The 17,109-nt window shown below is 48.2% G+C and overlaps 2 long non-coding RNA genes and 1 other non-coding gene across 3 annotated transcripts; 1 reads left to right on the top strand and 2 right to left on the bottom strand.

Annotated features, from left to right (window-relative positions):
- Positions 1–837: 837 nt before the first annotated feature.
- MIR3147HG (MIR3147 host gene) lies at positions 838–8,218 on the bottom strand. The gene is made up of 3 exons (NR_120505.1): positions 7,990–8,218; positions 4,584–4,709; positions 838–2,051 (listed from the first exon to the last, which is right to left on the bottom strand). It is a non-coding gene; the product is annotated as an MIR3147 host gene (long non-coding RNA).
- On the bottom strand, positions 7,895–7,960 carry MIR3147 (microRNA 3147). Its single transcript, NR_036102.1, has one exon. It is a non-coding gene; the product is annotated as a microRNA 3147 (primary transcript).
- A 647-nt stretch (positions 8,219–8,865) lies between the features above and the next one.
- Positions 8,866–10,988, top strand: LOC105375299 (uncharacterized). Its single transcript, XR_927305.3, has 2 exons — positions 8,866–8,929; positions 9,848–10,988. It is a non-coding gene; the product is annotated as an uncharacterized LOC105375299 (long non-coding RNA).
- The last annotated feature ends 6,121 nt before the right edge of the window (positions 10,989–17,109 follow it).

Here is a 17,109-nt window from a genome sequence, read left to right as displayed (position 1 = left end):
CATGGTGGCACCTGGACCTGACCTTTCTCAGGGGCCACTGAGCAGCACAGCCTTAAAGGAGCCAAGACAGCACCCAGACAACCCCAGGCAGCTCCTGCGCCCGGTGAAATCAGTGTCAATGTGGAAGCTGGACTCAGAGGCTGCTGTAGAGGAGAAGGATTGTGGCATCTTCAGAGCCCTAGCCAGCCAGCAGCCTGTCACATGTCCCCATGCCTGCCCACTTGTGTGACAGAGCCTCCCTCACAGGGCAAACATCCCAGACCTACAGATGCCAAGCCCAGCCCAAGCCCTGGGAGAAAAGGGACCCAGGAGAACCACGGGTGCCCCAGAAATAGCCAAGATAACAAAACAGGGGACTGAACTTCCTGGGGCACTGGCCAAAACTAGAATTTGGCCCAAGGAAGAGCAAGCCCCTTAAAGTAGTGTGTGGGTACGCAGGGCCCCCACAAGGCAGGCATGCCTGGCAGGGCCAAGGCAGTGACGTTACCAGGCTCAAAGAGCAACCATCCACATCGCCAAGGGTGGGATAGGAGCAGGTGGACCAGCCTCCAACCTCTTCAACTCAAGGAAGCAGCGATGGCTAGGCTCTCACACCCTGAGTGGCCACCATCCGACCATCAGTGGAGCAGAGGCCAGAGACCATCAATCTATCAGATGGTCCTGGGGCCCTGCTTCCACTGCACAAGAATGCCTTCAAGTCACATGATCAAGAAGAAGCTGGGCAAGAATGGGCCCAGGAGCCCGGGTCCCTGGGTCTGCTGTCCTCAGCAGGTGCCAAGGACAGAAAAAGTCAGAAAAGGTGTCTATGGTCAGAAAAAGTCAGAAAGGTAGTCTCACTCCTTGGAAGGAGGCTCCAAGGTGGGGACCAGAGCTGCAGGGGGAGGAGGAGCTCCTGGCAGCACTGAAATAGGCTCTGGCAGGATCCCAGAGTCTGTGGTTCCATCCTTCTATTTTTCCTTTTCTTTGAGAGCTTGGAATCTTCTTCCATTTGATGGTAAGTCTGCAGCCATGGACAATCAATTTACAAAAGGACTTCTCAGCACCATTTCCGCAGCCTGCCCTGTGGAAAGCTGATGAGAGCACACTGCTGTCTCGCACAAGTGACCATCCAGATTTCGCCAACAGGTAGAGATTATTTCTTAAATCTGTCTCAGTAATGGTATCCCCCAGACCATCAACATAGAGTGGGGGCAGACTTCTCCACCAGTGGGTCCAGATGACCCATGGTTGAAGCCTGCTCTAGAAGCTCATCTGCTATGGGGTCATTGTTTCCGCATATCGATCTTTCATATTCTGATCAGCAAGGGGTCATCTGGATCTGCAGGCTTCTCATGTCTGTGCGGACACTCCCCTCCTCTCTCACCCTCTCCTTTTACCCACAAAGAGCAAATGTGGGGCTTATTCCTTAAGTAGTAAGAGTGTGTCCTGGGCCAGTTTGAGCAGCGTGTCACTGGTAGATGCAGCTTTCCCCAGCAGGACAGCTGGTCATGTTCTATCAGGGTTAGAATTCCCTCTCTCCATATCTGCAGTCACCTTTTAAAGACAGTTCTGCATCATGAAGCTGGACGGGCAGTCCTACTCCAGGTGTGAGAGGCAGGTCTGATGGACATTTCCTGCAGGCTTGGCACCCTTCAGTCTTCTTGGAATGCATGTGCACCCCAGAGCCCCAGCCAGACACTGAATGGCCTGGCACAGATTTTGCACTTTTTCTCATACTTTTCTTTGGTCATTCAGATACATGGGTTTTCTCCAGGACACGTGTGACACAGAAGAGAGAAGCATCCTCCCAGGTTTGTCTGTTTTAGGTGCTGGAGCCCAGAGAGGTCTCCTCTTGAGAGGATCGGCAGGCAGCTGTAGCTTTTCAGGTGGGAGAGAGGACCCCCACAATCCCGCCGGCCCCAGCTCTTCTTTCTGGCTCTGTTCTTGAGACCCTGGGCAATTGCCTTTGACCGTGTGTGATTCGTCTTTCTTGACTCAAGGTGAACCTCACTTCCAAGGAATCTCCATTCCTGGAGGAAACTCTTGGCTTCCTAGTATCTCCAAGAACTGGCCTGGAAGAGACAGAGAAATGTGGATAAATCTTGAAATACTCACAGTGTATCCTTGGTACTTTTCAAAGACCCTCCCCTCTACACTGACAGGGCTTAAGGAAACCTTGTGTCTGCTGCTGGGAGATGACAAAACCTTAAATGAGAAGGTCAAGAACCAGGATCCCTGGAAAAAGAAATGTCCAATCTCTAAACTCATAGACATGTTGGAGAACATCTGTGTGTCTGGATATTTATTGTGTCCAATGATGGATAATGACTCAAAAACTCACTGGCTGTGGTGGCTCACACCATTAATCCCAGCAATTTGGGAGGCCGAGGCAGGTGGATCACCTGAGGTCAGGAGTTTGAGACCAGCCTGGCCAACATGGTGAAACCCCGTCTCTACTAAAAATACAAAACTTAGCAGGATACCATGGTGTGAGCCTGTAAACCCAGCTACTTGAGAGGCTGAGGCAAGACAGTCATTTGAACCCAGGAGGCAGAGGTTGCAGTGAGCTAAGATCGTCCCACTGTACTCCGGCCTGGGCAACAGAGACCCTGTCTCAAAGAAATAAAAAAAACCCTAACAAACAAAAATAAAATGCGAAAGCAAAAAGATTTTGGCTAAGTACTCCTGGCCTGGAAGGGCTCTTTGTTTTACATGCAGGTGATCTGTCCTGAAAAGAGGCCTCCTGGTCACAAAGTCTTACTGGGTAAGAGCTCCAAGTACACAGAGCCACAGGCCCATCATCCATGGAGCTGCCTCTGCTGCCCAGGATGGAAACATGGAAACTCAGGGTAAAGGCGACTGAGGCTAGAACAAAAAGATTAGGGGGAAAAAAAGAAAACTAATCTGAAAAAATTAAAGAAAAATATTCTAACATAAAGTAATTTTTATTAAAGCCTTGTCTCTGAATAAGTTAAATATGGCATATCACAGTATTGTACATAATAATTTAAAATTTTAACTATTGGCCAAGCACAGTGGCTCATGCCTGTAATCCCAGCGCTTTGGGAGGCCAAGGTGGGAGAATTGTGTAAACCTAGGAATTGGAACTAGCCTGGGCCACAGAGTGAGACCATGTCTCTGCCAAACAATAAAACATTAGCTGGGCATGGTGGCATGGCCTGTAAAACAATAAATAAAAATGAAACTCTAACTGTCACAAACTAAGCTACAATATTTATGTCATCATAAAGTAATAGACAATGTATTTCATTCCAAAAGAAATAATCAAGAATTGATTTCAAAATCAATTCAGAGCTTTGCCTTCTCTGTATGGTGGAAGAGCAAGAAACAGACTCCCTCTGGAACCAAACACATAGGAAGCCAGACCAACTACATGAACCAGATGTTTCCAGACACTAGAAGCATCTGCAAGGAGCACAGGACTGAGGTCTGGAGGCTGAAACTAAGGGGACCACATTGCTGCCCCAGCTTAGAGCCTGCAGAGCCTCCTGGCAGTGCAGGGTGGTTGGATATAGGCAACGCATGGAAGTCCCCACATTAAAGAGATAGGGTTGAGAATGTGAGGAGAGAAAAACACGGGGCTGAGTACCAGAGAGTAGGGAGGAGTGGCTGAAGTAGGGGTAAGATTGGTGAGTAGAAGATGGGGGCTCATTAAACCATTGGCAGCTATATGGGTAAATACCAATCAAGATAAATAATATTACCCAGTACAAAAGAGAAAAGGCACCCTACACTTTTTTTTTTTTTTTGAGACAGAGTCTTGCTCTGTCACCTAGGCTATAGTGCAATGGCGTGATCTTGACTCACTGCAACCTCCACCTCCTGGTTTCAAGTGATTCTCCTGCCTCAGCCTCCTGAGTAGCTGGGATTACAGGCACACGCCACCATGCCTGGCTAATTTTTGTATTTTTAGTAGAGACGGGGTTTCACCATGTCGGTCAGGTGGTCTCGAACTCCTGACCTAGTGATCTGCCTGCCTCGGCCTCCCAAAGTGCTGGTATGAGCCACCATGCCCAGCCCACCCTACATTTTTTTTTCAGAGCATTTTTACAGAAAACTTGTCATTATGAGTATAATATTGTCTAAAAGTAGCAGAGGAGGGAACATTTCCCAATATATTTTAGAAGGCTAGTATTACTCTCCAACAGAATCAGAGAAAGGCAGTACCAAAAAAAAAAAAAAAACCCTGGAAAACAGTATGCCTCATGAAACTCGACGTGGAAATCCCCAACAAAATGTTATTCAACAGAACCACATGCTTCACCCATGGGTGAATTTCTTCTAGGAATCATAAAGATTTGGGGAAATCAAAGGAAATCTTTTGTTAAGAATCAAAGTTGTAGACTCCTGTCTTGAGTTGATTACTTTGAATTTTTGGTCCCAAAATATATACAGGACCTGGTCTAATTCTATGATCTTTAGCACATGCAGCCAGATGCTGAAGAGAAATAGATACAACAGCGATATGGGAGTTATCCTCTCTAAACCCCAACTGAAAAACCCTGGAGTCAGAAGTTTCAGGTGAACGAGGGAAGGAGAAACAATTCAAACATTTAAATTTAAATTGCTATGAGAATACTGACTTGTTAGAAACTGAAGGAGCGAGCAATGCTTCTAAAGTCCAGCCTTTTCCATCGGAATACGGAGACAGACAACCTCGAAGTGCAGTTTCTTCACAATTGTCTTATCCAGTCATAACATTAATTTCCCTATGAATCAAATCATAAAATAAATATTAAACTCGTGACATATTCTCTGACTAAAAGAAGGCAAGATAAACTGAACGGTTAGTTGTCAGTGTAGTAAATTATGTACAAGAATCTTATCACTGCATTTTTTAATTACAATGGAATTAGAAATAATCTAAGTTTCTATAAAAGAATAAACAGTGAAACAAATCTTGTATGCCCATTGGAATACATTTAAGACATTAAAAATAGGGAGTTAGAATCTCATGCATTGATATAGAATAATGTAAATGATATATTGCCTGTGAAATAGCAAAATTAAAAAATATAGTATGATACAATTTGTGTTCAAAAACTGTACATGTATTTATCTTCTTTTTTTTGTTGGGGGGGGCAGGGTCTCACTCTGTTGCCCAGACAGGAGTGCAATGGCATGATCACAGCTCACTGCAGCCTCGACCTCCTGAGCTCAAGGGATCCTCCCTGCTTGGCCTCCCAAAGTGTTGGGATTACAGACATGAGCCACCGCACCTGGCCAACTTTATGTGTATTTATAAATTTATAGAAAACATCCAGAAGAATCAACACCAAGCTATAATAATTCCTTCTAAGAAGGGAGTGAGTTTGGAACGAAGAGGAAGACATGGGAGAATTTTGTTACATAAAGATCTCTATGATCTGCCATTATTCAAACAGCATGCATTTCTTTTATAATTAGAAACAGAAAAACATACACACATTGTTACCATTTGGTAGGAGGGCAATAGTTTTGTTTTCATCAGTATTTGAATTACAGGTGCGTGAAAGCACGAACCTGGAAGAGAAATCCCAGAGGAATAATTAGAACCAAAAAAATCGCACCTCAAAAAGTGAGTGGGTGTTATCTTTACATAACAACAAGCATTCCACGTAAGTGCTGGTCGCTGCTCCAGCTCCCTCAAATCACCTAAGCCCTGCCAAGGGGAAGGCGGAGGATAGGGAAGGCCAAGGGCCAGCAAGTGCTCTCCCCAACTGAAGGCCTGTTTCTAGAAGTTTCCTGTCATTAAGAAGAAAATGGAGTCCAAATGGGATGTGGACCCCTTCGGGATGCTGGCAGAGAAACACAAAGAATATGCCACAGTCATACCTTAGAGGAAGACTTCTAGGTTGAGACTTGAAATTCATCAAAAGCTTGTGTGAAGTAAATAAAGCTACTCTACCTCTCCAAGTGTCAGTTTTCTCACCTATAAAATGAGAACCACATGTCAACTTCATGAAATTGTTGCCAGAGTTAAATTCACAAAGATAATTAAAAATGACTGTTACTGTTACTGTAAGGGTCCACATTACTTTTTAAAAAAGAAAAAAAAAACAGCATCAGACTTCAAAATACACAAAAGGAATAATGTCCATGTGTCCAAAGATGAGATGATCAGCTTTTGAAGCAGCCTGAGGTGCATGAGAATGAGATCTATCCCTAACTAGAACTCTTCACAGCTCCACTGGAAGAGGACACACACAGGGCCCCAAGAAGCTAAGTGCATGGCCAGTGTAGAGTGACTGGTGTAGTGAGGGTGGAATCCCCAAAGACCCTCTGAAATGCAGTTACACAACAGGCTCCCAGGAAACACTGGACCAAACCAGGCAGCTGAGCAGATACTACCAGGAATGGGGTGAGCAGAGGAGGGTCAGAGCCACAAATCTCAGCAGAATACACCAAACTGCAAGGAGCTCCTGGCTCTGTGAACAGCAGCTGTGGCTGCATCAGGACCAATCTTGTGAGGCAGCTGCTGGGGACAGCTGAGATCACGTGTTTTTGCAGCCACCCACCCAACAGCAGTGCCTCTTGAACACAGATCACAAAATCCTCTCCATTCATCTTTAAGGTGACGGATGATGGATGAACTCACATTACAACATCCCCACCAACACTTGCGGACGAGTGTATTTAGAAACTCCCACCTAAAGAGGGAACAGTCAAGAGTAGAATGAGAATATTGAGGGATGGGGGAAGAATGCAGGTACTTGACCCCACAAACTCTACTGAAAACAAGGGAAGAGCTGTTATGCTGTGGTCTCCCTATACTTCACCTCACCACATCCATAGATGCCACATGGTTCTTGTTCCTTTATTGACAAAGGTGCTGATGAGCCCGTGTGTAATTGATCCTGAAGGAGTAAATTCTTCACAAAGTACAATAACAGTGTCTAATATCCATGACCAGAGTTTTTAGGCTTTTTTAAAATAGTAATCCGCATTCAGGAATCAGAAATGAAGCCTGTTGGAATGTGTGATATGAACAAGGTCTTATTTTTATGTAGATTAACACCTTGGTTTTTACGGATTAAACACAAAAGCATAAAAGCTGGAGCCATTCCAGAATCAAAGGAACTTTCCCTGAGGACACCTGGAATTAAGGGACATCAATTATTAGGAAGCTACACGAAACCAGAAGTGCTCCCAGAAGTTTCCATTGTCTGGACAGAAAAATTAAACAGATCAGCCCGAGAGAGTAAAGGTACCTCCGTGAGTGCCGGGGGTGATGAACATTCCATTCAAAGCAAAGTTGTGAAGCCTGAGGAGTTTCAAAGACTCCCCAAGTGCTCTATACCTTGAAAGTCGCTCACACAAAGCTGGAGCACCACCTGTTCCTGAGAATCAGGTTGCCATTGTGTCTTTGAGACACTGCCCAGTCAGGCCTCGGTTGAGATGAGGCCAATGATGTCACGTGTAAAATGCCTAAACTATCTTCATCTTTAGGTAGCTATTTGGGGAACTTTCCACCAAATGGGTTGGGGGAAAATGGCGCACCAGAGACACACGCCTGGGATGTGAGATTTTCTCTTCTGCTGTTAGCATCTCCTGGGTAAACCAATAATGACCCTCTCTGCCACCTCAACATCCACATCCGCGAAAAAGGCGCTGGTGAGGGTGACATTTTCATGAAGCCACAGAGCATGTTGCCCCACGCAAAGCTCTGAACTTGTGCACTGGCGGGCCGGGCGGCGGATTTCTCCCCATAGCGGCTGCACTGCGCTCTGGCTGGAGAGAAAAGAGGGCAGCGGCACAGTGGACAGTGCCTGGACCGCAGGCCAGTTCCCACAGCAGCTTAGGAAAGCAGGTGGCTCCCTGGGCTGGAGGAGGCGTGATGTCCAGGAAAGACCCCGGGTGCAGGTGGGAGAGGGAACCCAGCCTAGCAGCGGGAAGTGAGGTGAGGACCACACCCGTCCGAGTTGGACAAGGGCGAGGTGCACTTCGCGGCGTCACACCCTCCTCACTGCCCAACCCGGACCTGCCCCTCCTGTCCCTCTCCGGACTCACATCCCATGGCAAGGAGGTGTCCGAAATCAGTAGCCAGCATCGCTGTGGAAGCGGCGAGATCCACACTGCCCTGCCCAACCCTCTTGGGCTGCCCGCCTTCTCGCATATCGCCTGCTAGGATTCTAGTCCAGCCGCCTTGCCACCAACGGGCGGGGAACCGTTAAGAGCTACAGTTTCCAGCCTGCGTGGCCAGGAGCGCACCGCCCCGCTCCTCCCGCAAGAACTGCGCCCCGCCCCTGAGACCGGGGCATGCTGGGATTGCAGTCCCGAAGCGCTTGAAACAACGGGCGGGAGCGGTGAAGAGACTACAGCTCCCAGCATGCAGAGCCAGGCCGGCAGAGCCAGGCCGGCACAGCCCGGCTTCCCCCTTCAGGACTGCGCGCCGCCCCATGTTCATGCTGGCTGGGATTGTAATCCGGTCGCCCTGCAATTAAAAAACTGGAAGCTAATCAAAGATGACAAGTCCCAGTATGCCAGGCGTAGCTCCCGCCCTCCAATCCACACCTTCCCGAGTCCAGAGCAGTTCTGCCATGCCAAAGGGGAGCCTGGTTGTTCCCGAACCTCTCTTGCCTGCCAAGTGACAGCGAGACCAGGCGGCTTGTCTTATCGTGTAATTATGTCACTACCTCTCCCTGAGATGCTGGCTTCATGCTTCGTCATTGCCAGAAGTTTGATTTCTCACGGAGCAGCAGGGGACCTGGAGCTACTCGCAAAGCTGTCACGGTTGCCATATCTTGGAGCAGTACTCGCCCCGCCCCTTCTCCTCGCCCCGCTCCTTCCCTCTGCGCTGCCTCTCCCCTCGGCACCGCCCCTCCGTCTCGCCCCACCCCTGACACGCCCCCTTTGAACATGCGCAGTGTAGTCCCTGCGTAGGACGGGCTAATCGCCAGGTGTCTGACTGTTCTCCGACTTCTTGGCATCCTACGCGGGAAGCTCCCTCGTGAGTGTCTGAAACCGTCCGTTCGCTGCCAGAAATGGATATATGCGTTCCCTGATAACCTAGCACTTGCCTTTTCAAAGCCACCATTTCCTCTATCCTCTAGGCTGTCGCAAATCCTCCTGTTCATCCCAGGAGTGCCCCTTGGACCCCGGGCTGGCTGCATGACCCACACCTGGGTCAGGCCTCTCACAGGGACGCTCCTGCCACTCTGACAAAGAGTTGAAAACGTCACAGCGAAAGGCCTGACCCTGCTGCATCCAGTCAGGAAACAGCCACAGGGAAGGGAGCCCCTAAGACACTTTGGGAGCCACATCCACCGCTTCTCTGCCCCCGATCCAGGCTGGTTCCCAGACCTTGGGGTCCTAGTGTGGACCTCCCGGCCGTAATTAACGCAGGTGCAGGGCCAGAGAGCCCCTTGGTCCCTCCCAACACATAAGGGAAGTTTGTGTGGTGAGGTCATGAACAGTGTCTGCGTTTCTGCTGTGAATAGGACCTTCATGGAAACACTTAATTTCCCTTTTTAAATATCCCTTTGGAACCACGTTTAATAATTTGCTGGTGGAACTTAACAGTGATAATTCTTTGAATCCATTTTTCTTTTTTCTTTTTTTGACACGGAGTCTCACTCTGTAGCCCAGGCTGGAGTGCAGTGACTGACTCGATCTGGGCTCACTGAAACCTCCGCCTCCTGGGTTCAAGCAATTGTTCTGCCCCAGCCTCCCCAGTAGTTGAAATTACAGACACCCGCCACCTTGCCGGGCTAATTTTTGTATTTTTAGTACAGATGGGGTTTCGCCATGTTGGCCAGTCTGGTCTCGAACTCCTGATCTCAAGTGATCCGCCCGTCTCAGCCTCTCAAAGTGCTGGGATTGCAGGCGTGAGCCACTGTGCCCGGCCTGAATCCATTTTAACATTTAGTTTTCCAGATTAACTCGAAGTACCCCACGACTACACGCTAATGAAACTAGAGGAGGCACAGCCTCAGCTCCGTGCAGGAGGGACGCACAAGAGCAGAATCTCCGTGGGACATCTTTCTGGAGCATCAGTATTACTGCAGGATTTGGAAGAAACGAATTTAAATAATTTCCAACGTAAGACACTGGAAATTTAAGAGAAGGCTGGAAAGTCATTGGCCTTTAATAACTGTCAGTCATCTGTGCCTAAGTCAGACTTTCTCCAAGAAAAAAAAAAAAAAAACTCTAAGGAGAACCTATTTTTCATTCTTCTAAGTAGTTAAAATTAGAAATCACAGCAAGTCAATAGAAAGCTCTGCCCTGCTAGTCTTCTAAATCACAATATGGCCTTGGTATGGATTTATTTGTATTTTTTGGAGGGGTGTGTTGACATGTTGGGTATAAAAATTGGGGGGTTTTGACAAATTTTGGAAGTTTTCAGCTATTAGTTGGTGATTTACTTTGTACCTCATTTAATTTTCCTGTCCCCTCTTCAACTTGGACTCAATCACTCCACAGGTCTCTAAGACTCTTCATTTTCTTTAAGATTTTTCACTCTTTTATTCAGAATGGACAATTTCTATTGCTCTGTGTTCTGTTTCTAATCTTTGAATAAGCTCAAAAGTATTTTTTAAATTTCCTTATCTTCCTATTGTTTCGTAATTTCCATGTCTTTGCTGAGGTTCCACAGCTCTTCATTCATGATTAGAATATTTTCCTTTACCCCCATGAACAGATTTATAATGGCTGCCTTTAAACATCCTGAATTACAACATCTTAAATATCTTAGGATCACTTCTACTGCCTGCTTTTTAAATTGTGTATGGATCTCATTTTCGTGTTTCTTCACACGTCTCATGAATTTTAATGTTGTGTACTAAAACTGTAAAGAATCATTATAGAGACTCTCGATTATGTTGTGTACCTTTGAAAAGCAGTGTTATTGTTTACAAATGGTGTTAATTGGGCTAGATTCAAACGTCAACACCTATCTCCCCTATAGTGGGCACAGCTGAAATCCTCATTCAGTTCTTACTCACACGTAGGTCATATTTGTATTATATAGATGTGTTTCTATAACAATATATAATATACTATTCAAGTTTCATCATTATAATCTGTGTTAATTCAACAAGCTACTCCAGTGTTACTGAAAGCCAGGAGCTCAGTTTTGTCTGCTTATTGGATTTTGTATAAATCAAATTATATAGTATGTACACTTTTACATTTACTTACTTTTATGGAACATTATATTTGTGATATGCATTCATGCTGTTGCAGATAGATATAGTCTGTTCTTTTTTTTTTTCCGAGATGGAGTCTCGCTCTGTTGCTCAGGCTAGAGTGCAGTGGTGCAATCTTGGTTCACTTCAACCTCCACCTCCTGGGTTCAAGCAATTCTCTTGCCTCAGCCTCTTGAGTAGCTGGGATTAGAGGTATGCACCACCACACCTTGCTATTTTTTGTACTTTTAGTAGAGATGGGGCTTCACCATGTTGGCCAGGCTGTTCTTGAACTCCTGACCTCAGGTGATCTGCCCACCTCCACCTCCCAAAGTACTGGGATTACAGGCTTGAGCCACTGCGCCCGGCCAACAATTTTTTTTTTCATTTTAACAGTCTTTAAGTGTGCAGGTCAAAGGAATTAAGCAGAGTCACACAGTTTTACGAGCATCCTCCATATTTATAGGGAGTGTTTTTCATCTTGCAAAACTGAAACTCTGTACCCGTTAAACACCTCACCTACCTTCCTGTAGCCCCAGGAATAACTCTTCTACTTTGTGTCTCTGTAAACTTAACTACTTTAAGTACCTTGTATGAGTGGAGTCATACAGTATAGTGAAGAAATCATGAGAAAGTATAATACACACTATATAACATATGTTTATTTATTTGAACAAAAATACTAACAGAGATCAGTAGTACATGATAGAGGGAGATAAAAAAGAGAAAAGGATTGGACAGACACATTAAAATTATGACAATGATGCTCAAGTATTACAGTAGTGAGTCCCCTGCCCCAGTCACAGGGCTGATAACAGTGGAGCTGGGAGCCCAGCCCAAACTTCACTGAGCCCTGAGGCACTCTGCCCCTGCCACCTGGGCACTCAGTAGACCTGAGATTCTTCATGGCCTGGTATTCTTGGCCTTGAGGGTGTGGCTGGCCTACTGGGATGGGGCTCAGCAGCAGGACAGGTTGTAACTGTAGGACACAGCAGCAGCTGTGAGACTCCAGGAGCCACACCTCCGGCCTCCCTCCCAGTGCCTGCCCATTCAACAGGGCCTGCTGCTGACCAGGGAGCCGTGGCCACAGGATGTCTGAAACTGACCACAAGACAGAGTCTCCGCCCACCCTCTGTCAATCCGCTAGGCTCTCACCTCTCAATCAGACTGTGCGGCTCCACGGACTTGAAACCAACCCCATACCTCCTGAGTCCGAAGATGATAATTCCCTCTTGTCACGGAAGCAGCTGCATTTCTTGGAGGACTTTAATCTCCTGGAGCCAGAGGGGAAAAACAGGAGGCTGACAGGGCCTGGGTGGAAGATGCCGAAGGGCCCTTGGGGACGGAGTAAACTGGGGCTGATCTCTAGGGCTTTTCTCTTAGTAGGTCCCCTCTTCTCCAATCCCATGCAGCCCCACCCTTTTCTCAGAGTTGGATATAAACAGAGAAACAGCCCCCGCTAGGAATTTGTCCAGGATTCCTGTCCCCTACCCACACCCTCCATTGGGATGGGTCTCGTCCTCTGTGTATCAAACCCTCCCAATAAATCCAGGTTGCAGAGGATGGAGCCGGGGAGTGTTCTACCCAGGGTCAGTGGGTGGGGGTCTCTGACTTCCACATCCCCATCCTCCCCCAAAGTGAGGGCCCCAGCTGCGCCCCTTTTTCCTTTCTGGGTGTTGATCACATTTCCCTGGAAGACAGCCAGCCAAAGACCCTCAGAAAGGACCCTGGCCCATGACTTGCCCCCATCCCCACACCCTCCCACACTGCCAGGCCAGCAGGGGTGAAAAATGTGCATAGAACAGCACTGGGACCTGCATCAGGCTCTGGGCTCTAGACGAGGAGGTGTGGGAGCTGTAGCTCAGGGACCTTCTGCCCCAACACTCTCTGACAACAGACAGACAAACGGAGGCCCAGTATACAAAGAAAATGCTCGGCCACTTAGGAGCTGCCTGACTTGGGAGGGGCATAATTTCCCTCTCCTTCCGTGGGCACCGCCTGAGGGAGAGGCTGAGTCCAGCTCCTGCGGCTCCTGCAGCTTTGCAGTCAGGCAGCTCTGCAGCTTCACCACTCAGGGAACAGGGACTGGCAGCTGCTCTGGAGCCTCCACCATTCAGAGGTAAAATGGGCCTGACGCCCCAGCTCAGGGGGCATGGGGAGGACGGTGGGGTTCACACAAGAGGAGGCTTGCTGAGATGGAAGGGCTGAGTCCAAGGCTGTTTCCTCCCAAACCTCAGGATCCCGGTCCCCAACCTGCCTGCCCCAGGCTCACTCCCATCCACACAGTCCTTCATGGCAGTGTCCAGGTTCACCAGTTCAGTAAGGAACCCCCACAGAGAAGGCACATCACCTTGGCCATTGGGGTGGTAGTGGTGGTGAGCCCCCACAGAGAAGGCACATCACCTTGGCCATTGGGGTGGTAGTGGTGGTGAGCCCCCACTGTCAGGTGCCCACCCAAAACCTGCCCCCTGAAATATCACCAATCACTCCTGCCCAGACACCCCCTCCCCAGGTCTCCCACTTGGAACAGCCCAGGACCCTCAGCTGCCTCCCCCAGCCCTCCCCCTCCTCTCCCCTGTCTCCCCAGCTGGACTCCAAGGCCACTAGACACCCCCAGTTACTTCTATGGTGGAATGTTAACAAGTCACAAGGTCATGGGGTCCCCTGTCCCAGCTTTTGCCAAATCTACACTGAACCCAGCTCACCCAGGCGGTTTCTCTGCTCCCTCTAATGGAGGCATTTCAGGCCCTGTGGCCACAGGAGGGCAGGGCTGGGGGAGGAAGACCCCTTACTCTCTTGATGTGGAGGCCTCCAGCTGTGGGGGAAGAAGCCTGTCTTCCGACTCCCTGGAGCCCCTCTCACCACAGATTACTCGCCTGCTGCCCCACAGCCTCATCTGCGCTGTCTAGGGATTCGTCACCAGGTCACCCCTGTCCACTGGGTCATACTTTCCGCTCCACCTCTCGGCTGCCATCTGTGGGGCTAAGAGCAGTGTGGGAGAAGCCTGGTGGATGGGTCGCATGACGTGTCTGAGACCATCCTCACTATCTTTGCTGAGGGTGAGCACCAGGCCTGGAGAGGTGGGGCGGGGCGGGGCCCGGTGCTGCCCAGTGGGGCCTGTGGCTGGAACCCCGGCCTAGGCCTTTGGCGAAGTGGGACCCTCACCCTCAGCCCCAGCCAAGAACGGCAAGGTCGGCTCCCCACCCCAGCACAGGCTGGACGATCCATGGCTTCAGGCCAGGACAGAACCCCTGAGATCGGTGGGATCCCCCTGTTTCTTCAAGGAACACCTCCTCTTGCTTTCCACAGCAGGAATTCGAGCAGGCCACAGTGGAGCCTCTTCCATGCCTGTTGGATGCAGCCTCTCTTGCAGGGATGCACATCTTTGAGTTGGAGCCATAGCCTTGACCCTGGGCCTCTGGGGCCCTGACCCTAACCAAGGGCCCCAGAGCTCCCTCTTGGGTTTGCAAGCACGTGAAGATACAGGGAGAGAGGCTAAGTGCAGTGGCTCACGCCTATAATCCCAGCACTTTAGGAGGCTGAGGTGGGCAGATCACCTGAAGTCAGGAGTTTGAGACCAGACTGGCCAACCTGATGATACACTGGTCTCTACTGAAAATACAAAAAAATTAACTAGGCGTGGTGGTGCACACCTGTAATCCTAACTACTTGGGAGGCCGAGGCAGGAGAATCACTTGAACCTGGGAGGAGGAGGTTGCAGTGAACCGAGATCATGCCACTGAACTCCAGCCTGGTCTACAGAGTTAGACTATCTCAATAAATAAATAAATAAATAAAAAATCCACATACCTCTCACCCAATTTGCCTGCTAGGAAATTCCTTGTGAGCACCAAGAACTTTACTGAACTCTAAGTCATCCCTCTGCTCACCTGAGACAAACACATATTTGATTGGTTCCTCTGCTGGAAAAATGCACATTCCCAGAGCTAGACAAAGGCATACATTATGGCCAGGGGTGGTGGCTCACACCTGATATCCCAGCACTTTGGGATGCCAAGGAGGGTGGGTCACCTGAGGTCAGGAGATCACGACTCGCCTGACCAACATGGTGAAACCCGTTTCATTTTTTTTTTTTGAGACAGAGTCTTGCTCTGTAACCCAGGTTGGGGTGCAGTGGTGCAATCTCTGCACATTGCAACCTCTGCCTCCTGAGTTCAAGCAATTCTCCTTCCTCAGCCTCCAGAGTAGCTGGGATTATAGGCACATGCCACTACTGCCTGGCTAATTTTTGTATTTTTAGTAGAGATGGGGTTTTGCCATGTTGGCCAGGCTGGTCTTGAACTCCTGACCTCAGCTGATCTGCCTGCCTCAGCCTCCAAAAGTGTTAGGATTACAGGCGTGAGCCACCACGCCTGGTGAAATCCCATTTCTACTAAAAATACAAAAATTAGCCAGGTGTGGTGGCAGGCACCTGTAATCACAGCTACTCGGGAGGCTGAGGGAGGAGCATCACTTGAAACTGGGAGGCAGAGGTTTGCAGTGAGCTGAGGTTGTGCTATTGCACTCCAGCCCAGGCAACAAGAGCGAAACTCTGTCCAAAAAAAAGGAAAGAAAGAAAAAGAAAGAAAAAAAGAAAGACAGAAAGAAGGAAGGAAGGAAGGGGAAGGGGAAGGGGAAGGAAAGAAGACAGAAAACAGCCTAAGTGACTCTTCCTCTACCCTTCCCCCAGATGTATATTGTGTATTTGGTGAAAGTCTGATTAAAGGCCGGGCATGGTGGCTCATGCCTATAATCCCACCTCTTTGGAAGGCTGAGGTGGGTGGATCACCTGAGGTCAGGAGTTCGAGACCAGCCTGGCCAAGATGGTGAAACCCCATCTCTACTAAAAATACAAAAATTAGCTGGGTGTGGTGGTTGTCGCCTGTAATCCCAGCTACTTGGGAGCCTGAGGCAAGAGAGTCGCTTGAACCCAGGAGTCCGAGGTTGCAGTAAGCCAAGATGGTGCCATTGCACTTCAATCTGGGTGATAAGAGCAAAACTCCACCTCAAAAAAAAAAAAAAGAAAAAAAGAAAAAGAAAAAAAAGAAAGGCTGATTAAAGACTCAAAAGAATGCGACCATTTGTCTCTTATCTATTCACACCTTTTAAAAATGTCTTCTCTTTCCCAATATCTGTCCTTTCTCTTTTAAATATTGAACCCCTCAAATAATCTTTGGAGAAAGACACAGACCTACCTCCCAGACATGCATCCTTAATGTTGGCAAAATAAACTTTCTTTTTCTTTAAGATGGAATCTCACTCTGTTGCCCAGACTGGAGTACATTGGTGTGATCTTGCCTCAATGCAATCTCGCCTTCCAGGATCAAGCAGTTCTCCTGCCTCAGCCTCCTGAGTAGCTAGGATGATGGCTAATTTTTGTATTTTTTGTAGAGACAGGGTTTCACCACATTGGCCAGGCTGGTCTCAAACTCCTGGCCTCAAGTGATCCACCTGCCTCAGCCTCCCAGTGCTGGGATTACAGGCATGAGCCATGGCGCCCAGCCCAAAATAAATTGTCTAAATTGATCAAGACCTGTCTCAGAAATGTTTTGGTTTATACCTTCTGCTATGATTGGAAGCCTCCTGAGGCCTCACCAGAAACAAATGCCAATACTATGCTTCCTGTACAGCCTGCAGAACTGTGAGCAAATACATCCCTTTTCTTTACAAATTACCCAGTTGCAGGTATTCTTTGAGTACAATGAAGAAAGGACTAATACAAAGAGACTCAAGATTTCCCTTTATAGCAAGTGCTCAATAAATATCAGCAAAATGGTTCGGTGATGATGCTGCTGAAGATGATCACTTAGGAAATTTAGGGCCTCAGTGAGATCCAGATTTGGCTAACTTAAGTGGGAAGGAAATTTGTTAGAGGAACATGAGTGAGCTTATAGAACTTATGAGAAAGCAGAAGAGTCAGTTCAAAACAACCCAGAAACGCCAGCAGTCCAGTAGATCCTGACAGCAAGAAGCAGATATGCTGATAGCGGCAATGAGCTATTCC

This window comes from Homo sapiens, chromosome 7 (assembly GCF_000001405.40).
Source record: "Homo sapiens chromosome 7, GRCh38.p14 Primary Assembly".
NCBI classification, from domain to species: domain Eukaryota; kingdom Metazoa; phylum Chordata; class Mammalia; order Primates; family Hominidae; genus Homo; species Homo sapiens.
The sequence above is the reverse complement of the archived record's forward strand: the minus strand, read 5'-3'. Positions and strand labels throughout refer to the sequence as shown.